Here is a 25,472-nt window from a genome sequence, read left to right as displayed (position 1 = left end):
CTAGAAACTACTTAAGGCACAGGAAGGCAGGGGTACTATATAAAAAATTAAGATTTAATTTCTGATATTTCATATTTTTAAAGCATCAAAGTAATCCTCATGGCAAAAGTTAGAACTTCGTCAGACTTCTTTATACTTAATCGTTAGAATTGCTTTCATTTTGAATACCAATCGTTTCAAAACTTGGTATTTGTAAAGGTTTTAATCCAGCTCCAATAGTTTTGCACTGTCCCTAAACAAGAGAAAAAGCAGCCTGGAAAAATCAGCCCTGCATGGCCCCAAAATGGGGGCAGAGGGATGGCAGAGTGCTATGAAGAGCACAGCATTTGGGGCCAAGAGGCTTAGGTTCAAGCCTCAAAGCCATCATTTGCTAACTGAGGGCCCTTAGAATTACCCTCTCTGATCCTCCATTTTCTCCTAAGATGGGCATAATCTTATCTATTTACTACCTACATAATATTAGCCAGTTACTTCGCATATTGTAGTGAAGGCCAAATGGGGTTGCAGGTGTCTAAGCACATTAAAATAGTCACTGCATCAACATTAATCGTCATTAGAGCAAAGAGTGGAAGGAACGTCCCATAGCGATCACTAGAAGCTTTACAACAGCATCTTGTCCACTTCCCAGCCTCTAGTCTAACTCAAACATATCCAGGGAGTAGACCCCAGCCCGCCTCACTCTAATTCTGGGCTCAAAACTTAGGAAGGTCTTTCTGTTGCTGAAATAAACACTTCTTGGTCTCATGAACAACAATCGTTTAATTCAAGGCAAATTTCTAAAAGGGTTCCCTTTGCTTTACAAACACCACCTGACCAGGCCTGCAAGGGAAGGGGAACCATTTTAAGGGGCCCCCACCATGCAGGGCCGCTTGGTCACTGTGCTATCGATGAGGACATCATCTGCAAGATCACTGTTTTCCCTCTGGCCGTGGTTGGATGAAGCCCAGTGTGCTGTTCTCATTGTTTGGGCGCAGCATCACAGGCTATGAGTTGAAAATTGGCTCTCCTTGGACAGTCCTCAAGCACTACATTTTTTTCAGTGACTCTCACCAGACCCACAGATGAATTTACCTTCTCTGCGTATGCCTTTTGACTGGTTCTGTTTCAGGGAACCGCAAGCTCAATAAGCTCCACTGTTCTACCAAGCTGGACAAACAGCCACGTCTCTGTTCTCTTGGCCAGACCCTGAGGCCTGGAGTCCTGCCTTCAGGAATTCCAGAATTCTAGAAAGTTAGAGCTAGACAAGACCTCAGCCTTCATCTAGTCTTGCTCCAACCACTGTGCGGATGGGGAAACAAGGCATGGGCTGGGGATGACTTAAGGGGTATAAAATGTTGGGCTTTCTTTTGTCAAGCCCAGCATGTGCCTCCTATAGGCACCAGTGGTCTCTGCAAGTCCTGGCCTGCTGGCCTCGCAGCCACAGAGAGCTCGGACTCTCTCAGGCAGCTCACTTCATTGCTGGAACAATAGCAATGTTCTTCCTAATGCTGGGCAAAAATTGGCCTCCCGCCTTCCTTTAATGCTCACCTGCTTGTGCAGTCTCCAAGGAGAGATAGGTCTGGCCTGCATAGAACAATTGGAAATTAATTCATCCTTAAAGGAAGTGGAGCAGACTGTCCCAGGTCATTCTTGGGCAGCCTCTGCCATTAGATTGGAGAGAAGGCCCAGCACTCTGGGTCTACACAGACTCTGAATATAGAGACCTGGATTCATGTTCTGTTGCCTAAGAGCTATTAATACACGATGGTGAGCATGTTACTAACCTGTTTAAGCCTCAGTTTCCTCTACTGTGAAAACAGAGGTAATAGGAGTTTCCTATGTTGGTTCATTCTCCGTATGGCTCACCCATGATCCTAAGATGGCTACCTAGAGAAATATGGCTAAAGGAATGGGTCATTCCCTCTTGTCTTGCTGGCACCATACAACTTGGAGAACCTGTTCAGATATGCTTCCATAGATCTGCTCAACAGCCCCGGGAGGTAGACAGGGAGGTTTACTATTTATGGTTTACAGATAAGAGAACCAGGCTGGGAAATTCTAAGTGGTTTGTACAAGATCACCCAGCTAAAAAGCAGGAGAACTGGGACTTGAATCCAGGCCTCCTGAATTTGGTGACAGTGCAGACTTGCTCCGTGCCATCAGGCCTGGCTCCTGGGAAGGAACACTTTGAGAAGCCTTAGTGGGGCTTGGTCTCATGCCTCACCCAGGGCCTGGCCATAGTGGGTGCTCGGGGGACCTTTGTCTTTTCTGCCACAGCCTGAGCCAGAGTGGAAGCTGGGCTGTGCAGCAGAGCAGGAACCCAGCAGGTGGCAGGGACAGCCTGGCTGTGCCTGCTTTCTCCCTTGGTGGTGGGGACCACATGCTAAGCTACGTCTGTAAACATGGCCACAGCCTCTTTCTGATCCCTTGAGCTCTGTGTCTCTGCATACACGTCTCTTGGTTTTCTTTCTCCTTTGACTTCACTCTCCTCCCCACTCTCCCCATGCCCCTCCTCTGTCCTGGATTTGATCTTCTGTCTCCTGGCCTCCTTGTCTCTCTCAACATCCAGTGTTTTTTTCTCTTGTTGACTTCCTCTTTCCCTCTCTCTCCCTCAGTTCCTCCTTTGGATCTTCCTGGGTCGAGCAGACAAGTGAGAGGCTTCTGCCGTGCTCAGGGCAAGAGGCTGCTGAGCTGCCCTTCCGTCCCCTCCTCCCTCCCCACACATCCCTCTCCCTTGCCCTGGCCCCTCATCACCTTGGCTGGCTCCTCCTTGATGCATGGGCTGAGGCGAAGGTACAGGGAGGCAGTTAGAGCAGCTTCCCTGGATACAAAAGCTTCTTTCTACCCCTTGGAGATGAGGTTTCCAGGCAGGTTATTTTTATAGCAGGGCTCAGGCAGGATTCTTCAGAGAAAATAAACAAAGTCATACACACCAGTCCTTCACACCCTTCAGCCCCTTCCCTGGAGAGGGGCCCAGCCTAGCTGTGCCGACACAGGGACGCCCACCACCCCAGAGGGGCTGTGGGGGCTGCTGCCGGGATATCAAGAGGCCAGGGGTCTGGGATGGGGGAGGGGGCGCCAAGGAGGGAGACTGACACAGGTCCCCTGCAGCCCCAGTCAGGCCAGGAGGAGATGGCTGGAACCTTGGGGTCCCTGCCTCACCACTGGGGCCAGAGTCTTGGGTCCGGCATCTGTAGGGGAGAGTCAGATTCAAATGCAGGCGTAACCCAAATTTTCTAAATGCTTACCAAGTGCCAGGCACTGTGCTTGCAATTTACAAACACATTTTACTTATTCCTCATCACTGAATTCACTGAATTCAGTAGAAGTCATTTCTACAAGTTGCCACTTAGTATTGGCCTCTATGTGCCTGGCACTCTGTTAGGTGCTAGGGAGACAAGATTAAATGACACATGGAGAGAGAGAGAGCTCAGAGAGCTTTCCAGCTGGTGAGACATTGATTGAATCCCTTACTATGAAGATTTCAAGGTGGATATTTTTATGCTCATTTTGCAGATGAGAAAAGAGACTTAGTGAGGTCAAGTGACTTGTCCAGGGAAGCTTGGACCTTTGATGTCAAGGGCATAAGGGATCAGGGACTCAGAGATCTCTTGGGGCAGGTTTCTTGGGGGTAGAAATGTCAGCTAAGAGGGTGTAGAGGGCAAGAAGCCTGAGATGGGATAGGAGAACAAGGTACAAATCCACGTGCAGTTTTCCTGGGGTCTTGGGCCATTCCAGACCTAGGGTGGAGCACACGTGGTCCCTCATTCTTGAGGGCAGGCAGTCAACAATATCTTGTCTAACAGATCCCAGAAAGGAAGGCCTTTCATAACCAGATTGGCTGCAGTCTTCTCAAAGCTCTTTTATGAGGAAGCCTCAGGTTAAAAAAAACTTCATAAATCATGTGCATTCCCCGTCAGGCATGACAAAAATACATGACCCTTGTGGGTCCCTGCCCAGTGAAGGCAAACAGCTCACTGAGGCAACGCTGGGAGTGCACACAGGCCTGCCACTGTCCTCCACCTCCCTCAGCCGAGCATGTTCCCCAGCTCAGGGCAGCCCCCATCATCCTTGACAGGCCAGGGAATTCCAGATACCAGACAATCATTCTAATGACCCTTCAGGAGTGAGTTTCAGTGTGCTGCCTTAGCCTCCACAGGCATTCGGCCTTTTTTTTTTTTCTTTTGAGGTGGAGTCTCGCTCTGTCACCAGGCTGGAGTGCAGTGGCGCGATCTCGGCTCACCGCAACCTCTGCCTCCCGGGTTCAAGCAATTCTCCTGCCTCAGCCTCCTGAGTACCTGGGACTACAGGCACACGTCACCACGCCCAGCTAATTTTTGTATTTTTAGTAGAGACGGGGTTTCACCATGTTGCCCAGGATGGTCTCCATCTCTTGACCTCATGATCTGCTTGCCTCAGCTTCCCAAAGTGCTGGGATTACAGGCGTGAGCCACCACGCCCGGCCTCATTCAGCCTTTTTATGACTAATTCTGGAATGAAGGAATGTGTCTGTTTCAGAAGTTCCAAGTATCAATAGGTAGAGTTCTAGTGAATTCCCAGAGTCTGGGGAGCCCCAAAATAACATATTCTAGTGTCTACGTTTGCTTGTCTTTAAAAGGGAGCTAATAATACTCACGTCTTGGGGTACGAAGAGTTTGCAGACAGGCAGTGCCGAGCCCAGCATCTAATGCATGGCAAGCACTCCAGCCTCCTCCTGTGCGCCAGGCTCAATCTCCACTCATTCATCAGGCGCGTGCCCAGTGCCTGTGGTGTGCTGAGCGTGCGCTGGGCGCGGGGTTCAGAGTCTCCTGGGGCCCAGTCCCTGCCTCCAGGAGTTTACACAGAACAGCCTCTGAGACTCCCAGCATCAGGCAAGACAAGCTGGTGTCCCTTCCAGGACCCAAGGCCTTCCCTCCCCAGCCTGAGGCAGGGGTACCCTCCCTCAATTCCCCAGTTACCTTCCCACCACTCTCCAAGGTCTCAGTTTATTGTTTTTTCATTCTACCGGGGGCTGACCTTAGTTGTGGTTTAATGGCCTTTTCCTCCTGCGGCCCCTCTTAACTGACACCTGGAATGCCTCTCTGAGCTGCCTCTCGCCTTTCTGTCTCTGCTAATGAGGTTTCTAACAAAGCCATGTGTCACTGGAAGTCTGCTCACAGAGGGACTGCTGGACTGTAGCCTGGGGGACCCGGGCTCTGTGGGAGGAAGGGGATGTGGCAAGGGGGGAGGGCCGAGGGAACACAACATTTCTTTCAGAAAAGGCTGAGGCCTGGGGCGAGGGAAGGCAGGAGGCTGGAGCCCGCTCCCTCTGAGCATGCTCCAGGGTGGCCACAGGCTGACGGCTGGAGAACTCACCCCAACCCCCAGGCTCTGGAGAACTCGCCCCAATCCCCAGGCTCTGGAGCTGTCATTGTAGCCACCTGAGCAACGGCTGAAGGACCAGGGCCTGGACCTTGTAGGGTGCACCTAACTTAGTGTCTGGCACAAGGAGACACTGGGTGTGTGCTAGTGGCTTCTCTCTAGTCTGTCCACGTGGGTGGGCTTCAGAGAAGATGGCCTTGAGTGTCCCCAGGCACTGTCCTTTCTGTGCCGGGGAAGGTCTATGTGCATCCCCAGCCAGGCCTGCTCCTGGAGGATTCCGTCTCCTAGGCCAAACTTGACAGAGGAAGATGAGCTCCACGAAGAGCCCTGGAGACCAGACCTTCCAGAGAAGAGACGGCTGTGCGATAGCCCAGGAATAAGTGCTCTCCAACTTTCCACAGGGCTGTTAGATCCAGGAAAGAAACTCAGCTCTCAGGCTCAGGGATCAAGAGATTGTATGTAGAAAACACCTCATGGTACATCCATAATCAGCCAACAGATCAAGCACCTACTCCCTGGAAAATGAGTGCTGAAAGGCTGCTCTTGGCAAGAACTAAACTCCAATGAAGGCACAGCCATGCAGTGTACTTGCTGTTACTGTGAATCTGGTACTGTCTGTTCATTCAGTTCTCCCAACAAACCTGGGAGGAGGAAGATGTTGCTGCCATTGCCCCCCATAACAGATGAGGCAACTGAGTAACAGAGAGGTTAAGCAATTGGCTCAAGCACACAGAGCTGGCAAGCAGTAGTTATAAGATTAGAACTCGAGCCTGAACTCGAGCATGATGCTGTACTATCTGCCCCACTTGCAGGGAGGGGGAGGTTTGGGAGCCTGGGAGAAGGTGGGGGAGCAGGAACAAGTCAGGCCAGTGGGCAAATCGTGTCAGCAGAGCAGTCTAAGCAGAGGGGAAACCAAAGAGAGGAGCCACGCCGTCCTGGCCCTGAGTACACTGGGCCTGGTGGAGAAGCCAACCAGGGACAGAGACAGGAAAGCTGGATGAGAAGGGCCTTGGGTGCTGATCTGAGGAGCTGCCCTGTGCCTGTAGACAGTGTCTCAGTAGAAAAGTCTGGCCAAGTGCAGACTGGAGGGGACAGGCAGAACCATGACCCAGGGAGCCGGGACAAGTCACTAGAACTCTCTGGATAAGGAGCAGGCCCCCTCTCTGACCAGCCCGGGGCAGGACCTCCCTGTGTAGAACAAAATTGTGTCCATCAGACTGCTGTGTCCAGACAGCTCTAGGTGAGGGCTGAGATCACATGCAGTGTTCCCAGATCGATTTGCTAGATCTGAGGGTCACCTAGACTATGATTGTTTTTATGGTTTCCTTAAGTCAACTTTCTCATTCTCTTTTACTTTACTCAAGTTTACTTGAAATGAAAACTCTGTAACATGGGATTGATATTCTACCTTTTCCTCCAATACTTATTAAAATAAATCTGTTTTACAGGTTTGGTCCCTGCCAAAATACATACACATGTACATTAAAATATAGATACTATATATAACACTATTAGAATGCAAAACTTTCATCCAAGTTCTACCTAAAATCACCCAGGGACCTTTGCACTTAGGAAACATTGTCTTGTGGCCTATCCCTTGCTCTCCAGTTGAAGTGACCTCATTCAAAGATTTCACATTTGGAAAAGGCAAATCAGAAAATCACTCAGACCCAAGGGAGGGAAGGAGGCCAGGCTTGGGCTGGGGGCGGGGGCTGGGAGGCACCCTGGTGGGCTTGAGACCCAGGGGCTGGGGGCAGGCAAGTGAGCTGCCTAGGGCCGTGAATGAGGCCTTGTTGAGAGCCGTGGCAGCTCGGCAGTGTGCAGAGACCATGCTGCAAATGTAAAGTTTCCAATAACTTTTATGGGTGGTTTCTTAATAAACATCTGAGCAGCCTGTCTGGACCGAGAGCTGTGTTGTCCCAGGCGCCCAGAGATGGAGCTGGGTGAGGGGCTGCTGTCTGCAGTGTCAGCCTCTGCACCCCACCCACAGCCTCCCACGGCATCCCCTCCCCATCTCCCCTTTGTCTTCCTCTGTCTTCCTTTTTACTTCCTTTTCGCTGTTTAATGAGAACGACTTCCATTTGCTATTTGTTGACTGAGTCCGGCACTGCATTAAGCTCTGTCTACATTTTGTCTTAGTGCTTGCAGGCACTTTATAAGGTAGACGCAAGTATTGTGCCACTTTTACACATCAGGGAACGTATGAACACATCAGGTTGCTCAGCAATGAAGTGGAAGAGCATTGATAGCCCTTTGGGCACAGATCTGTGTGCCTCCAAAACCCATGCTCTGAGCGCTGGTAACCTCTACTCCTCCTCTTCCTCACCTTGTCAGCATCAGCACTCCACCTTCCCTTTCCTCCTCCGCTTCGAATCTCAGAGCCAACTTCAGCTAGTGCCTCTCCCTTCGGAAACACCTCCGGGAAATACCTCCTCCCAGATCACCCCTGCCAGAACCAGCAACGACTATGAGTACAGCACGTGGGTCTGCAGGTTAGTTGACTTGTCTGTGATGGGACTGATTAATCGAATGCTGAGACACTTTTGTAGCCATTTGAAAGCCATTTGGGTTATTGGCCCTGGCTTCAGATAAACAAGATAAATAAACCTCAGCAAGAAGGAAATGGCTTCTGGGGTCTTTCTCAGAATTTGGTACATCAAAGTGAAGTCCTAGATGGAAGGGTACACTTCCCACAAGCACCTTCCAGTGGGGTCCCTTGCTTTGTTTAGTTGACTTATCACTAAACATATGGGCTATAAGATTGATAATATGTTTTGTAAAAAGGGTAGATGCTCAATGGCCTCGTTGGGCCTATCCAAAGATAGAATGCTATGGGAAAGGAAAACACCTTAAGAAGAAAAGTTCTTGGGTGAGGCGCGGTGGCTCACGCCTGTAATCCCAGCACTTTGGGAGGCTAAGGTGGGTGGATCACTTGAGACCAGGAGTTCGAGACCAGCCTGGCCAACACGGCGAAACTAAAAATACAAAATTTGCCAGGTCTGGCGGGGGGTGCCTATAATCCCAGCTACTCAGGAGGCTGAGGCAAGAGAATCGCTTGAACCTGGGAAGCAGAGGTTACAGTGAGCCGAGATCATGCCACTGCACTCCAGCCTGGATGACACGGCAAGACTCTGTCTCAAAAAAAAAAGAAGAAGAAGAAAGGTTCTCAGATGTCAGGAGACAGAAACAGTGACCTTGAAGTGTAAACACTGAACCCTTAGCTCACAACAAATCAGTTAGAATGTATTAGCTGCATTAGAACTGTCCACACTGACTTCAACCCTGTATTTCTTGGGTCTGGAGCCTTTTGTAGGGCTCCGTGTGTGTACATATTCTGCAAACTCCTAACCTGGAAGCAGTCATTTGGTGGCTATAAGCTGTGAGCAAGAAATGCTCCAATTATCTGTGCATTAAGATTAATCAGAACTCTGGTCACCGATGCATATATGTGTGATGCTGAAGCACTGCCTTCCAGCCTCTCTGTGGTTGTGTTTGTCTGATAATTATAAGATCCGTGAGGACAGAGGCCACAGATCAGGGATGTCCTTCTTCCGAGATGGAGACAAGGGCAGAGCAGGTGGCAAACTGTGGCCTTGTGTTCCAGGGGGGCGTGTCCACACTTCACACTCTGATTGTGCTGGCTTGCAGTGTGGCTGGGCCTCTCGGGTTGCAGCACCCTCATTTGTTCTACCCTAACACAATCAAGAAAGATAAAAAAGAACACTGTAGCCAGGGAATCTCAGCTGCTGTGCCAGTCACCGGCCATTCATTGTGTGGGGCTGAAGATCTAGCTGGGAGTCAGGTCTAAGAACTGGTTCAGCTCCTCCCCTTGCCTCATCTGTGAAGGCTACTCAGAGGAAAGAAACATGCACCTAGGCTCTCGAAGCCTTCACTGAAGGACAGAGAGTGCTTGTTACAGGCAGTTCCTTCAGGGTTGAAATTCCATTTCAGGTCTCAGCACCTAAAGTCATTTTTCTTTCTTATTTATGTTTCCTGTGGAAAGTCTGAAGAAAAACTGGTGGAGCATCTTTTGAGTTTGCATTTGGAAGGGAGAAAATATGCTCCTTCTCTGCTGGGCAAACATTGCAAACATTGGTGCTTTCACAAACCAAACACAAGCTGGTTTTCAAAGCCTCCGGCTTGGCGACCCAGGGAACTGGGGGGAGGGGAGGAGAAGGATGCAGCCACCTGGGCTGGGGAGGTTTGCTTTGGGAGCAGAGGTTGGAATTTGTGAATTTTCTACTCCAAGAAGATCCAAATAGTGCAGCTCCAGCCCCATCCTGCGCAAGCTTGCTCAGGCAATAGGGGCTCTACCTGGCTGGGGTCTCGATGGAGAGCCAGGGCCTTGGATGATCACCTCCCCGCCCCAATGCAGCCTGGAGTGAAGTGGAGAGGGGAGGGGTGAAGAGGTGTAGGAGAGACGGTGCAGATGAACCAAGATGGCCTCAGGGATTCTGGTCCCTCTCTCTGGGTGATGCTGAGGATAGAGAGCGGGGGTGAGAGTGAGAAGAACATGCCTCTGCACCCACAAATTTGCCAGGCTTTCAAACACTGACCAGGCAATCCACTGGGCAGTTGTTCCTATAAAGCTAGGACTATGAGAATAGCAGATGTATACTATGGTCTGTCTGGTTCTTTCAGCGTAGTCTGTAGCAAAAGGTTTCCTCACTCCCTCCTTTTCTTCTTCCTTCCTTCCACTTCTTTCTTGACAGAATAATATAATAAATTTCCAAGCACTCATCACTAGCTTTAATAAGTATCAACTAATGGCCAATCTTGTTTAATCCATAACTGCACCTACTTCACCCACTCTTTGTCCTCCAACTGAAATGTTTTGAAACAAAATCTAGACATCATATCCTTTTATCCATAGATACCTAGATTTAAAAAAAATTTTTGATATTGAACTCTGATGATACAGGGAATCTCCTTCCCGGTATCTTAGGGAAAAAATGCCCTTCATAAGTCTACATATAAATTTTGCAAATCATTGTAGGGGTTCAGGGAACCTCCGAAGCTCATCTAAAGACCTTAAATTTAAACCCTTGGTATATAGGGTAATCGCTAGCTCCCATAGAACACATTGTTTTTGGTAGCCTGGAGCTATTAGCTGTTCCTTTGAAGGAGATTTACTTTCTTGTTTTATTTGCAATAGGTATGCACTGAGTGCATTGTGACCATGCTGGGTTATTGTGGGTAAAGGTGAGAGAAGGCAGGGCACGCAGGGCAGATGATTACATTCCTGCCGGGAGGGCTGGAGAGCCCTTGGAAAGCAGCCTGCAGGCTGAGGAAGGAGGGACTCCGGGATCTGCCCTCAGGGGCTGCAGGAAGGAGGAACCTTTTCTGAGTAAGCTTTCCTGGGGGTTTGTTTATTGGCCAGCGTTAGGTCTCTGAGTGGTTGTTAATGTGTTTGTTTAGGGTCCATTGTGATGTCTTTAAGATAAAGACCTGCTCAGTTTACAGGCAACTGTCAAGTACTGGGCTTGGAGCCCAGGGAGCCAGTGAGGGAAGCATTTCCAATATGGCGATCAAAGCCACACTTAGGGCCTTCCTAGGCTCCTGAAATAATCTTGGAAGGCACTCTGGGAGAGGATCAGCAGCATGCACAGGGTTAGACTAGAGGGGCTCTTTCAGGCTGGACAAATAGCTGTTGAATAAGGAAACAGACTTCTTTGTTCTCTTTTTTTTTTTTTTTTTTTTTTTGTTTTGAGAGGAGGTATAGGAGCAAAGCCATTTTAGATGCTAGGGGTTCTTTGGAGAGAGCCCAGAAGCTTTCTGATCTTAATATCCAACTCTTTTGCTATTTCCCCTACCTCCTCATCCCACCTCAGGGTCAGCAAATCTCCATGTCTGCAGACCCAGGGACCTGTAGTTAAGCTGCATGGAGCCTAAAAAAAGGCACTGTGGTGCTGGTGCTTGGATACACATGGCAGGGGACACAGAAGTACTGAGATGGGCACAAAGAAACTCTGGAATTTATAGTAGAGCAAGGATGGCATTTCAACCAGTTAGGATAGACTTTTCTTGCTGTCACCCAGGCTGGAATGCAGTGGAATGATCTCGGCTCACCACGACCTCTGCCGCCTGGGTTCAAGCAATTCTTGTGCCTCAGCCTCCCAAGTAGCTGGGATTACAGGTGTGTGCCTCCACGCCTGGCTAATTTTTGTATTTTTAGTAGAGACAGGGTTTTGCCATGTTGGCCAGGCTGGTCTTGAACACCTGACCTCAAGAGATCTGCCTGCCTTGGGCTTCCAAAGTGCTGGGATTACACGTGTGAGCCACTGCACCCAGCCAAGATAGAATTTTCAATAAATGTCCCAGCACAACTGGGCAGACATTTGGGAGAAAAAACAGTAAGTTCAGATGTATATCTCATACCTTAAAATGAGATCAATTGTATGTGGATCAAAAATTTAAATGTAAAAATTTAACCCTAAAAGAACTTAAAGGAGCCAGGAGAAAAAAATTTAAAATCTATGAATGAAACCAGAAACCATAAAATAAAATAACAATAAATTTGACCATATAAAAATAAAAAGTGTTTGCATGGCAAACAAAAAGAATAATCATAAACAAAGTCAAAAGCCAAAATGAGGCCAGGCACAGTGTCTCATGCCTGTAATCCCAGCACTTTGGGAGGCCGAGGCAGGCGGATCACTTGAGGTCAGGAGTTCAAGACAATCCTGGCCAACAAGGTAAAACCCCATCTCTACTAAAAATACAAAAATTAGTCGGGCATGGTGGTGCATGCCTGTAGTCCCAGCTACTTGGGAGACAGAGGCAGGAGATTTCGCTTGATCCCGGGAGGCAGAGGTTGCAGTGAGCCGAGATTGTGCCACTGCACTCCAGCCTGGGCAACAAGAGCGAAACTCTGTGTCAAAAAAAAAAAAAAAAAAAAAAAAGTCAAAATGAAAAATCATGAAGAATTACCTGCAACTCTTATTATAGGCAAGAGGTAATGTTCTATATAAAGATCTCATGTAAATCAAATAAGAAAGAGAACAACAGTTGAATAGAAAAGCAAAGCATATGAACCGACAGTTCCCAGAAAATGAAGCAAAACCAATACAAAAAAAAAAAAAAAAGGAAAGAAAGAAAATACAAATTAAAACCACCCTGAGACAGCATTTTTCACTTTTCAGATTGGCAAGGACCAAAAGAACTGATTACTATACAAGGAGTGGCTATGGTGGTGAGATTTGTCCTCTGCAAACCATGACGGTGGTAGCTGGCAAAGGTTTGGTGAAATAGGCTTTGGCATACATTGTTGATGGGAATGGTGCATGCAGTGTTAAAGGGAATTTATCTGTCAAATTTTTTTAATGCACTTCAATTTTGACCCAGCAATTCTGCTTCTAGGAAATTATCCAACAGATAAATGTGCAAGTGCAAAATGGCATATACACAAATATTTACTGCAGCATTATCTCAGCAAAAGGCTAGAGATAACCCGAATGTCCATCAGAAGGGGACTGCTTAAATAAATTATGGTATATCTGTATAATGGAATATTAAGCAATATTAAAATAGTGAGAATTTCAGAAACGTGTGGGTGTGGAATCTTTCCAGGACACAGAAAGTGAAAAAGTCCTGTGTAGACCAGTGTGTGGAGTATATTACCATTTGTGCCAAGAGAGGAGAGGGGTGATTTTTACCATTTGAGATGGGAGTGAGGGATGATTTTTAAACACAGTTGCTTGCATATGCTTGGAATCTCTCTGGAAGGAGACCTGAGAACTAATAATATTGGTCCTCTATGGGGAGGGGAATGAGTGGAAGCGGAGGAGACGTCACCTTTTGTACCTTTGGAATTTTTTTTTTGTTTTTGACAGGGTCTCACTTTGTTGCCCAGGCTGGAGTGCAGGGATGTGATCACAGCTTGCTGCAGCCTCAATCTCCTGGGCTCAATTGATTCTGCCACCTCAGCCTCCTAAGTAGCTGGGACTACAGATGTGCGTCACCACGCTTGGCTAATTTAAAAAAATTTTCTGTAGAGATGGGGTCTGCACTATGCTACCCAGGCTTGTCTTGAACTCCTGGCTTCAAGCGACCCTCCTGCCTCAGCCTCCCAAAGTGCCGGGATTACAAGCATGAGCCACTGTGTCTGGCCAACTACTGGAATTTTGAATTGTGTGAATGTATTGTCTATTTTTAAAATAATATTAAAATTATGATTTTCTTGTTTTAAAAAAGAGAAGAGTAAAGGAAAGAACATGACACAATAAAGGAAGAGGAGACAGGCCAAATGTCCGTTCCTTCCTTTGCAGCAGATGCAAAGTGGACCCCACTTTGTTCGTGGTGGCGGCTGAGCCTTGCTTCACTCACTTCCCACCTTTCTCCCTCTTTATGGGATTCTTAACAGCACACTCATGGAGATTTTTAAGGAGTGTGTTCCCTGCAAAATCTCAATACCAAGTGATGATTTCCGTAAGTTTCCATAAGTTGGTAAGTTCCAAGCCTTTCCTCCAAGGGGGCATGGTCATCCCTATAGATACAGGACATTAATGGCAAGCAACGCTGATGCTGGGCAGGGAATATGTACTCGCTCTGAGAAAACTGTGAGGGAATTACACGACTCTGCAGTGGAGAACACTGGAGAAAAAGGGGGCCAAAAAGATAAGAAAAGAGAGAACAAGAGAGAGAGAGAGAACAAAAAGAAGCAACTGAAAGTCTATCAATAGGCAGCTTGTACATCGATACAGGAGAAGACCATGTCATGCAGCTATTACAAAGAAAAAGGAGCAGGATCCTTGGTGCCCAGTTGTTGAAGATTGTTCACTCTCTGTGTACCTGGGGCTGTGTTCTATGCCCTGAGAACCAGATGAGTGGGAGAAACACAAGTGCAGCGAAGCCCGATCAGAAACACAAAACTCTTTGGAAAGATGTCAGCTGGGTTTGGAAGGAAAGGAAGGGGTTTCTGAAGCAGTGCAGGTGAGAGAGGATTGGGCTGGGCCAACGGTCCACATTCTGGCATGTGTTCCTAGGTCTCTTATCTCATTGCAGTATCAATATTTTGATACTATTTCAACAACAGTGCCTTATTTAAGGAATAAATCTGCAATTTCTTGAATTTTCAAATGGTTGCTTCTTTGGCTGGGCAATAACCATGTGAAAGTGTTATTATTCCACAAGTTCACCACCCTGCCTGCTGGAGCTCTCTACTTATTTGGAAAAACAGGACTTTGCACTTGAAGCTGACAGAGAAGAAGGAAGTGGACAAGTTGGAAGACCCAAGCTCTCTTTTAACCTCTTGATCAAAACTAGTGTCACCTTGGGCAACTCCCTATTGTCCCTGTCAGGGCCAGGCTCAGGGTGCACACTTTAAGAGGCACCAAAAATACTCAGTCATCAAGATACAGACTATTTTAATGTAACATTTTAAAAATAAAAATTAATGCAAAAATCTATAATGAACAAAATACCAGACATTTAAATAAATATAGGATCAATATTACTGATTCTTCCTTTTGCTGTGGGCTCCATTATGGCTGGACACAGCATTGTCCCCAAGGCCTCATTTTCCGCATCTCTAAGTCAAGAGGGTTGGACCATTTGACTGCCCAGGAACCTGCTGGGCCCCGTTGTTTTATGGCTCAGTAATGAAGTGCCACTGAAGAATGAGAGAACATTTAACAAAGTGCTAATTGTACAGCCCAGACAATAGTGCGGGTGAGATGACAGGGAGTCTTCATGGGGACAAGGGATGGCAATAGAATCCAGGCAGCTGGGGGAGATAACAACATTTGGCCAGCTTTCTCTTTGTTTCCACTGGACACAAGCTCACCTACCAGCGACAGGAGGGGGACAATGCTCCCGCGCCTCCTCCCTCTTTCTCCCCTGGAACTGTGCTCAGACCTAGTCAGGGGACAGGGAGAGCCTCATTCACATGTGGCTTATGGCCCAGCGACCTGCTGGCTAACAAAGCTTTCTAAGGATATCTGAGAGAAGCTTGGTACCCCATAGGAGGAAGGGACAGCAACAGAGGTGCCCTGCCCGGTATCCTGGGACCCAACCAGTGCTGCCCTCTCACCTCATCCCAAGATGGGCAAAGCAGCACAGCTTGCTCTCTCGTAACCTTCCTGAGGGCACCATTGTCTTGACCGAGTCCTCTAAGGCCGGCATGGAATGAATGCATGAGAACAGCTGTGAATACAAAGCTTAGGACATTCTGTGGACATGTTGAGACAAATTAGTTAATAATCATCTAGTTAGGGAATCCCATTTCCAGAGTGAATGACTTGCACCTCCCCATCACCCAAGTCCAGGATAACATTTCTCAGTGAGACTTCAAACCCATGTTCCACATGGGGGCTGCAGCTCCACCCCTTGGGACGGCCTGGCTGCTCATGCAACCCATTTCCCGAGAGGCTGGTTTCAGAATGCTCTTCCCAAATCCTCACCAGCTCAGAGATGAAGCTTCATCTCTGCAAATGTCATTCATCACTAGAAAGTGGCTGGGGCCTCTGAGGTCCTGTTCAGATCAACAGGATGAGAGAATCCCGCTCTTCAGGAAAACCCACCTCTTCTCATTGGCCCCAGTGCCCCTCGCATTCTTGCCGAGCTGCAGGAGGGCAGCTAAAGACAAGTGACATTGGAAAAAACAGTGGCCTCCACCCTGGACAGGAAGAATGGCTCCCTTCATCGGGACTGCTCTGGGATGCCAGGGTTATCCAGGTCCCAGAGTGAGGAAGTGAATCAACTCTTCCCAGCCTTCAGTCATGCAGGCTGCTTCTGTACCCTTCAGTGGTGTGGTATTTAGACACGTTTTGTGAAAACCTGATGAACATCTCACTTAGATGTTGGAAACAAACATAAGCCCCAGCCAATTCTTACACTTGCTGAGGATGAATAAGTCCCTTTGGCTTCCCAGTTAGCTGGGTCCAACAAGCGAATTTAGAGGCTAAGAAGTGAGTTGTTGGCCCTCACATGGACTTACCATCTGAGTGTGCCCTTGGCTGGCTGCATAGCTTGAGAGCAGCGGTTCTCAACCTTAGGCACAGATTGGAATCACATGGGGGGCTTAAAAAACACTGACCAGGGTCCCCCCACCAAAAAAAATTCTGATTTAATTGTTCTGGGGTGCAGTCACAACATTGGGATCTTCAAAAGCTCCCCAAGTGATCCCAATATGCAGTCAGGACTGGGAACTACTGCCCCACCCAGACCAGTGCTGAAACCTTAACATGTAAACAAATGACCTCAGGATCTTATTAAATGAAGATTCTGATTCAGCAGGTCTGGGGTGGGACCTGAACTTCTGTACTTCTTTTTTTTTTTTTTAGACGGAGTCTCGCACTGTCACCCAAGCTGGAGTGCAGTGGCGCAATCTCGGCTCACTGCTGCAACCTCCGCCTCCCGGGTTCAAGTGATTCTCCTGCCTCAGCCTCCTGAGTAGCTGGGATTATAGGTGCATGCCACCACACCCAGTTAATTTTTGTGTTTTTAGTAGAGACAGGGTTTCACCATGTTGGTCAGGCTGGTCTCGAACTCCTGACCTGGTCGTCTGCCCACCTCAGCCTCCCAAAGTGCTGGGATTACAGGCATGAGCCACTGCGCCCGGCCGAACTACTGTACTTCTAACAAGCTCCCAGGTGATGAGATGCTGCTGGTCTGCAGACCCCACTTCAAGTAGCAAGAGCACACTGCATTGTCTAACATGGTAGCTAACAGCCACACAGGCTGCTGCTTAATTAAACCTTAAAACAACTTAAACTTTAGAAATTCAGTTCCTTCACTGTGTTAGCCACATTTTATGTGCTCAGTCACCACACGTGGCTAGTAGCTACCATATTGGATGGCACAGAGAGACTCTCCTTCATCACAGAAAGTTCTTTGGGGCAGTGCTGTCTTAGAACATCTCCTTGTCTCTCAACTCCTATTCAAGTTGCCATCTCTTGAAATGTGGATTGAAGCTACTTTGGTGGCAGGGACTATGAAACAGTACCTTATACTCCCCACATTGTGTCTGTGAACTAGAAATGTAATAGGTGCTCAGTTAATGCTTGCTTCAGTTAGGGTACTTGTGCCTTTGTCCAAAGACGATCACCATATAAACACTGACTGATTAATGTCTACTTGGGCATCAATGAGCAGTCTTATGGAGTTGTATCCAGTGGTTCAGTGGGCATGTCAGCTTGGAAGAGGTCAATGATCAGGTTGCAATAGGAATGCTTCCTCTATCCCTGGCTGGCCCATAGTTCAGGACCAAAGGAAAAAAAAAAAAAAAAGGCAGGGCTCCAGGTGGCCTCCTCTGTCAGAGCATCTGCCCATCATTAGTCATTTAGCCTGGGAGATGGGTTGAGACGCCCAGGTTTACCTAATGGGACCCTTCATCTTTCAAGCCCAATTCAGAGGAGACAAATCTGGATATGTTCTCTCTCTAGGCATTTTTCCTGGGCCTTGGGGAAAGGGAAGTTCCTGAGATGGCCTGCTTCCTATTCCTGCATAGCTGCTCTGTCTTTCCTTGGGCAGCTGTCACAGACACAGGAGGCAGAGCTGGGACTGGGGTGCTGGGTCCCAGAAGCAGAGGGAGGCTCCATCTGCCTTAGCCACACTGGGTGGGTAAGTTAAACCTTCAGCTAGGTGTGCTCTTGTTTTAGCTTCACAGCGATTGATTTTCAGAGTTAATTGATAAGTCATTGTTCTGCTAGGATAAAGTGGTAGTGGAAAAGAAACTGGAACTGGACCCATCACAGAGCCACGTGTGGCCACCTCATTTTACTGCTGAAACAGCTGAAGCCCACAGAGTAAAGCAATTTGATTGAAATCACACAACATGTTAGACACATGGTTAGGTATAAAATTTAGGTTTCCCGACTGCCAGACCAGTGTTCTTTCCACTGCTTCATGTCCATGAGGTTTGCAAGAATGTGTAAGCCACTCGAATAGAAATAGAATATTACATAAATATGTATCTCTAGTACAATATACAAGGTAGGTGTTCTTTAGTTCTTTTCTGGAAAGGATGATAATAAAATTGCTTTTTTCCTACTTTCTCACTTACACTCACCACATCCTACTACAGGATACACATTACATACTCCTTTGGGGAAGGCTAAACCTTCCCACCACCCCCTGCACATATCTCAGCAATAAAGCAACATCTTTGATGAGTAACTCACCATGAGTAAAGAAAGATGAAGCGGCTGGGCATGGTGGCTCACGCCTGTAATCCCAGCACTTTGGAAGGCCAAGGTAGGTGGATCGCAGGAGCCCAGCAGTTTGAGGCCAGTCTAGACAACATAGTGAGACCACATCTCTTAAAAAAAAAAAAAAAAAAAAAGAAAGAAAGAAAGGGGAAGCTGTAAGCACTATAATCATAGGAAATATTTCCAAGCTGGTAAAGAAGAGAACGGTAGCTTCTTTTGCAGGTCTACAGACACATCACACTGGAAATGTACAAGCCATGCAGCCCAAGACACCAACGTGGTCATCAGTTGGCTCTTAACAAATGCATGAACTTACTTCAGCCGACATTTCTCAAAATCTTCTTACTGCTTCTCTACCCCAGTACTGATCACATTACTTACTAGTTCTCAGTCTAGAGAACCATGCCAGTGTTACCACTGAGTGTTATCTCCATTCATAATCTGTGCTACACGAAGGTACTCGCTGCTCTTTAATGCCAAAGACCAACACACAGAAGTGGACAGATGAAAGGCATTAATATTGGGGAAATCTAACATTTCCTAAATGCTCGCATTTAGTAAATATCAGTAGTTATTACCTCATCAAGAGCAAAATATATTCAGTATGTTCACAAGTACATGTAAGATATTTACAATACTTGTGGAAAAGGAGAATGGTGTGATGTTTGCAGTTAGGTTGCATTTGCCAAGTCAGCACTCCTGGGCACTTTGCCTGCAATTGTGACCCTCTGTCACAGGTGAACTCTGTTTTATCTGAGGACTGAGTCTGAATGACCTGGCACGTGTACTTTTCTTTTTTCTTTTTCTTTTTTTTTTTTTTTCAATTAAGATTTCTTTCTTTTTTTCTAAGACAGGGTCTTGCTCTGTCACCTAGGCTGGAGTACAGTGGTACAATCATGGCTCATTGCAGCCTCAACCTCCCGTGCTAAAGTGATCCTCCTGCCTCAGCCTCTCCAGTATCTAGGGCAACAGACATGAATGCCACACGCAGCTAAATTTTTAAATGTTTTTGTAGAGCTAGGGTCTTGCTATATTACCCAGTCTGGTCTCGAACTCCTGGGCTCAAGCGATCCTCCCACCTCAGCCTCCCAAAGTGCTGGGATTACAGGCATGAACCACCACACCCAGCCTCACTTTTCTATTTAAATACATCTTCCCTACAAACTAGAAACTTTTATTAATACAACTAAGTACAAAGATCATGGAGAATCAGGATAGGTAATTTAGAATTAAAGTTACAAAACTCCAAGCAAGATTTAAAGAAACAGAAACACCTATATACAATCAGGTATCTTTTTCACTCACTTTAAACTGTTTCTGACTACAAAATATAGTATTGGCACTATCCAGACATGAGAAGGACCAGCTTTTCCCTCTTATTTTTTTGAGTTAGATCCTTTAGAGCTTCTTATCAAACCAAATTTAAAAGGCCTTGCAGACAGTTTTTTCCCAAATAGTAATCTTCCCACAGTTATATCATACTTATCTTTTTGTTTAAGCTGGTAACTAATGAGAAGGCCAATACCTATCCAAGCCTTCCGAGCCTTTATGATCAATTTAGAAGTTCCTGTTCTTCTTAGGGAAAACTTGTGCTGAAGAATTGGGGCCACTTATCCCCAGTGCCAAGTTTTTTTTTTTTCCAGGTAATATTGAAAGTTTCTTAATCTAGTTTTTATTCCTAACAGATTTTAAAACAATTAAGATGTTTTCAGCGCTATACCTTAAATTCCAGGATATTCATCAATCAACCTAGATCGTATCAGCTATAATCCAAACTCATGCAAACATAACTTAAGACAAAAATTTTTATGAGACCCAAATTAAAAACAGATAAATGATATTGTCTATTTGTGGTACGGCAGGTGTGTGCAGGAAGGGTAAATAAATCAGATGCAGACCAAGAAGAGTAGTACTTGCAATAATAAACATTTACTCTAAGCCTCCCGTGTAAAGCATTCTCCCGAGGCTTTATGTTTGTTACTTCATTTACTGCTCACAACAAGCCCATGAGTAAATTACTATTATCCCTGTTTTACCGATTACTTCTCTGATGCTCAGAGAAGCGAATTCACTTGCTCAAGAGGACGGAGCCAGGAAGTGCAGTTGCAGCATCTAATCTGGGGAAATTAAAAGGCAGCCAACCCTCACTTCTTTGTATTTTTACCCAGGAAAGCATTAAGAATGTGGTAAGTTTCTAGGCACTTTTTTTTTTTCTTGAGACGGAGTTTCGCTCTTGTTTCCCAGGCTGGAGTGCAATGACACAATCTCGGCTCACTGCAACCTCCACCTCCCAGGTTCAAGCGATTCTCCTGCCTCAGCCTCCCAAGTAGCTGGGATTACAAGTGCCCGCCACCATGCCCGGCTAATTTTTTTGTATTTTTAGTAGTTTCTCCATGTTGGTCAGGCTGGTCTCGAACTCCTGACCTCAGGTGATCCGCCCGCCTCGGCCTCCCAAAGTGTTGGGATTACAGGCGTGAGCCACCGCGCCCAGCCTCTAGGCACTTTTAGGATAAAGATGGGCCTCTTGACAGGCTTGCATGGGAGGAAACTGGGGCACATGCAGGATTCTTTCCTCCTATCCCCCATGAGAAAGAAGCTCATATACCACTGGCTAAGGATTCCAGAGTCGGGTCTCCGCGAGGCAAGGAGCAAAAGCCATTATGAGGACCTCGCTGGTAGCCCAGTTAAGCTGCCAGACGAAACTCACGATTGGAGGTACAGTTACAATTGCAGAGGAAGGCAGGTCTCTGCAGATCCTAAAGATTAGTTACACCATGGGACAGATGTGACCAAGCTGCTTTCACTACCCAAGCCTGTGTCAGGAAGAGCTATTTTCAGTGAAAGGGCAGAACAGAGCGCTTCTGTCCATGACATTGTATTGTGCTACAGCACATCATAGAATGCCACATGACATCACAATATATTATAACTTGTTTACCTTACAGTTTGGCTTTTTGTGTATCCCCCGAGAGGTAGTCATCTCCTTGCATGTAGGATTCATGTCTAATAGAGCTTTCTTTTGTCCCTCCATACCACCTAGCAAGTGCCTGGCGCATAGCTTGTGCTCAACACAGGGGATGAAGAAATGCTGGCCGAGGAATGAGAGGGGGAATGGGACAGGAGGGAGGATAGAGTAAGGGGAGACAGTCGAGCAGGACCCCAAGATTTTGCACCCAGGATTCTGGGAGGGAGAGTGTCAAGGGCAGTGGGTGGGTGATCAGCTAAGGAGCTGGCCTGGAGGCTGGAGTGGAGATCGGGGCGGTGCAGAACACAATGGGGCCCTGGCTGCCTCCGGATAGGTGCTGGGTGTGGGGACAGCTGAGGGGCCCTCATGGGGAAGGGCAGCATGCACTGTCCTGCTCCCTCTCAAGGTTGTTTTTGGCAAAGGAGCTCACTAGAAACTTACCACATGTATGTTCCCTGGGGCTTTTCAGGGACTTCCTAGAGGGCAGGCCCACTGCCCCCCGCCCCCCGCACTGGAGCAGGATAAACTTGGTTTGCAGGGGCCTGGCTTTCTCTGAGGTGGCATCTACCCTACTAGTCCTAGGGACATCATAGTTAGCTCCTTGCTTTCCTTGGTATGTCCCACCTAGGAGGAGTTCATCAGTCAGGAGTCCCTGGGGGGCAGGGCTAAGGGGCCACCACGGGAAGGAGGCTCAGGTGGCTGACTCCGCTCCCCTGCTGGCTCTGCCCTGACACTGTCTCCATGGAATCCAGGGCTCCAGTTCTAATCATGGGTCAGTCTCTTCCTTGCACTGAGCCCAATTCCTACTGGAAAAAAGGGACATAGGAAAAGTGACCCACCACCTGCTTTAAAAAAAGACCGCAGGAGGCTTTACAAAGTCATGCATCCATCATCTCCTTTAGGGTCCTCCATCCATTCCTCTCCTTAAAACTCACTTCTCCTTTCTGCCACCTTTAACTCAGGCTCCTCCTTGCCTTGTCTGCCTCCAGTGCAGGCCTGAGCCCAGTCATGTGTGACTGCAGACCATGCAGACCACACCCCTCTGTTAGCCAGGGTCGTATGGAACTTTCCGTGGACCAAGATTTAGACCAGCACATCTCCAGCCTTCATGGGCATATGAGTTATCTGGAGAGTTTAGTAAAAGCCAACTCTGATTTGGTAGGTTCGGCTTTTCCAACAAGATCCCAGGGTAGGTTGATGCCGCTGGTCCATGGACCACATTTACTATGTGACCGCACTGTGCCAAGCAGGCTTTGCAGGGGAAAAGTTAAGTGTATTAAGTTATGGCCCCTGCTCTCAAGGAGGCATGTGAATAGACTCACATGGGATTTCTTCACATGTTTGAGGGAGGAAGGGATGGATGGATGGACAGATGGATGGATGATGATCTAAAGGCATAACTCCATAGAACTGGCCATACCCAAATGCAATAGGAGTTCAAGGAAGGGAGAGAGATGGGGAGAGAGAGTTCCACCTGTCTCGTGGGTTGTTGACCTCTCAAAGGGTATCCCTTGGAACCCCCATGTTGTGTTATTGCTTGAGAAGTGCCTGGAACAGATGCTCTGTGGCTGTTGGGAATGGTTGTGGTTTACTGTAGAACCATTTGCTTCACATGGAACTTCTGCTGGGAGTGCTCAAACATCTCTGCATTTAAGCATTTGTGTTCTTCCTAGAGCTCAGAACCATCAAGAGCTGATGAGAGAGACAAATGCTCCTTAAAGGCAGAAAGCTACCCACCTTAAGAAAATGCAATATTTCGCACGACTTTTGTTGTCTTTGTTTTTAAAGTGAAATGGGAAGATCATTTCTGTATAAAAATACAGACATTTCTTCAAAATGTAAGCCTTTAAAAAGCCCAGACACCTTTATCTTTTCCCGCAAAGGTCTAGCTAGTAGGAGGTAAGAAGAAGAGGGGAAAGTGAGAAGAAACGTAGATCTGAGCCTGACTCGGTGGCATTCAAGGAGTCCTCCATGTCTGGCCTTGCCTTCACCCCTTACTGCCATGTCTTATTCCCAGGGCCCTGCAGATGGCTCCACATTGTCCTGGGGCCACTGCCATGTCTTCTGGTGCATCTGCCCTTCGTTGCTTCCATTTGGGAGCCATCCTGCCCTCTCACTGTACCTCTGCATTTCAAACCCCCACCCATGCTTGGAGACATGCTTCTCTTAGGAAACCTCCCCCCAGCTTACTCCATGGCTTCCAGAATGCCATTCTTTCTTTCCTTTCTTTCTGTTTCTTTCTTCTTCTTTTTTTTTAGGGGGTTGGGGAGAGTGGGATACCTTTTTTGCAGCATTTTGTACAATCATTTTTTTCCTATTTCCCCTACAGATGCAGAGGTGGTATCTAAATCCTCTCTGTATCCCCATCTCATACAGAAGTAGGTGCTCAGTACGAGTCCTAAGCTGAATTTGTATGGCACTAGGACAGGATGGAGGAGACTGGGTGGGATTCTTGGTGCTATTTGCATTTGAGAATACATAGTAACACATTTATGCTCCTATGGAATGGAATGTACACCATAAATCTGGAAAACCCTATCCTGGACAGTCTTGATTCTGTTACTCTGCCCCCAAAATGCCAAAGGAAAACATAAACACATCTTGAAAGACTGTCTGAACGGAGCCCAACCAACAGAAGCTGAGTGTCACTGAGTAAGCTGGGCTCACCACCCCCAGGCACGGCTGCTGTGTGAAGTCTGTGCATTCACCACCTGCCATATTTGGGGTGGGCTTACCTCTTTGGAATGTGAATCCTTCTTCACTTTATCACTATTTTTAAATGGGATTTGTGTAGAGGAAGAGAAAGATATCTTTTCTTTACAGCCTGTCTACAAATATCTTTCCCAATAAGGCTGTGTCAACCTGAGTCTAAATTTAATGCCTCCATAAAAGAGAGAAAAATAGTGAAATGGTTATTTTGTCTACACGACACAATATTGCTGATTTAATCCATCTGTTTCTCTGAATTGGGCTGACTTGGGGTAGATACACTGATTGTGACTGTTTAATTTCTTTCTTTCTTTCTTTCTTTCTTTCTTTCTTTCTTTCTTTCTTTCTTTCTTCCTTTCTTTCTTTCTCTCTCTCTCTCTCTCTCTTTCTTTCTTTTGTTTGAGATGAAGTCTCGCTCTGTTGCCCAGGCTGGAGTGCAATGGCGCAATCTCAACTCACTGCAACCTCTGCCTCCCGGGTCCAAGAGATTCTCCTGCCTCAGCCTCCTAAGGGACTACAGGTGCACACCGCCACACCCAGCTAATTTTCATATTTTTGTAGAGATGGGGTTTCACCATATTGGCCATGCTGGTCTCAAACTCCTGACCTCAAGTGATCCTCTGGCCTTGGCCTCCCAAAGTGCTGGGATTATAGGTGTGAGGCACAGCACCCTATTGTACCTGTTTAATTTCTAACTGTTCTACCTACAGTTACCCATGCTGTACTTAAAGGTGTAAGTGAGGCTGGCCATGTGGGACACTCATCTCGGCCATCGATGCTCTTCTTCTACCAACTGGGGAAAACAGAAGCTCTTTGTTTTCAGTTCAGTGGCTCCAGAAATTGCAGCATTTCCTTATTAGTCTGACACTGCTATGATAGAATATTTTTCACATTAAGTGAATGAACATTTATTTACAACCTTTCTCAAATATGGAATACATATTTCCTGTCTCCTCAAAGAGACCACATTAAACTTAAATTAGCATTTTATTGGACATTTCAGTTTATCATTATGAATCGCAGGGACTACAGCAGATGCTGTAGATCGGGATATTCCCTGGAAGCATTGATGACTGTAAGGGCATTGACCCTACCCCACTGACCTTCGGCTACCATGTTTTGTATTTGTTGTGTCAACTTCACATTGCTTTTCTGTGTCCTCTCTTACTCTCCCTTTTTCCTGTTCTCATTGTGCTTCATCAACAACTGCTGCTTTCCTATCTCACCTCTAGTTTTCTGCATCTAATTGGTGAGGTCAGATGCCATTACGTGTTAATACAATATCTAAACTATGAATTAGCAGACATGGA

The 25,472-nt window shown here is 47.0% G+C and overlaps 2 long non-coding RNA genes across 7 annotated transcripts, besides 3 other annotated features; one reads left to right on the top strand and one right to left on the bottom strand.

Moving 5' to 3' along the window:
• Positions 1–1,203: 1,203 nt before the first annotated feature.
• LOC105369750 (uncharacterized) lies at positions 1,204–18,549 on the bottom strand. 6 transcript variants are annotated; one of them, XR_944904.3, is made up of 4 exons: positions 18,462–18,549; positions 15,371–15,508; positions 2,734–2,881; positions 1,204–1,563 (listed from the first exon to the last, which is right to left on the bottom strand). It is a non-coding gene; the product is annotated as an uncharacterized LOC105369750 (long non-coding RNA). The 6 variants fall into 6 exon arrangements; XR_001749115.3 differs by having other exon boundaries at positions 1,204–2,881; XR_001749116.3 differs by having other exon boundaries at positions 1,204–2,881; positions 15,371–15,449.
• Positions 10,143–11,134: an enhancer, noted in NCBI's record as "OCT4-NANOG-H3K4me1 hESC enhancer chr12:48415301-48416292 (GRCh37/hg19 assembly coordinates)". NCBI's record gives its function as "activates a minimal SCP1, AML or CMV promoter by ChIP-STARR-seq in naive and primed H9 embryonic stem cells {active_cell/tissue: H9 hESC(naive and primed)}" and the evidence as "EXISTENCE:reporter gene assay evidence [ECO:0000049][PMID:30033119]".
• On the top strand, positions 10,477–12,881 carry LOC124902927 (uncharacterized). Its single transcript, XR_007063293.1, has 2 exons — positions 10,477–10,687; positions 12,483–12,881. It is a non-coding gene; the product is annotated as an uncharacterized LOC124902927 (long non-coding RNA).
• Positions 21,305–21,804: an enhancer, noted in NCBI's record as "H3K4me1 hESC enhancer chr12:48404631-48405130 (GRCh37/hg19 assembly coordinates)". NCBI's record gives its function as "activates a minimal SCP1, AML or CMV promoter by ChIP-STARR-seq in primed H9 embryonic stem cells {active_cell/tissue: H9 hESC(primed)}" and the evidence as "EXISTENCE:reporter gene assay evidence [ECO:0000049][PMID:30033119]".
• Positions 21,805–22,306: an enhancer, noted in NCBI's record as "H3K4me1 hESC enhancer chr12:48404129-48404630 (GRCh37/hg19 assembly coordinates)". NCBI's record gives its function as "activates a minimal SCP1, AML or CMV promoter by ChIP-STARR-seq in primed H9 embryonic stem cells {active_cell/tissue: H9 hESC(primed)}" and the evidence as "EXISTENCE:reporter gene assay evidence [ECO:0000049][PMID:30033119]".

Source organism: Homo sapiens, chromosome 12 (assembly GCF_000001405.40).
Source record: "Homo sapiens chromosome 12, GRCh38.p14 Primary Assembly".
Lineage (NCBI taxonomy): Eukaryota > Metazoa > Chordata > Mammalia > Primates > Hominidae > Homo > Homo sapiens.
Note: the sequence above shows the minus strand (reverse complement) of the source record. Positions and strands in the feature narration are given on the sequence as shown.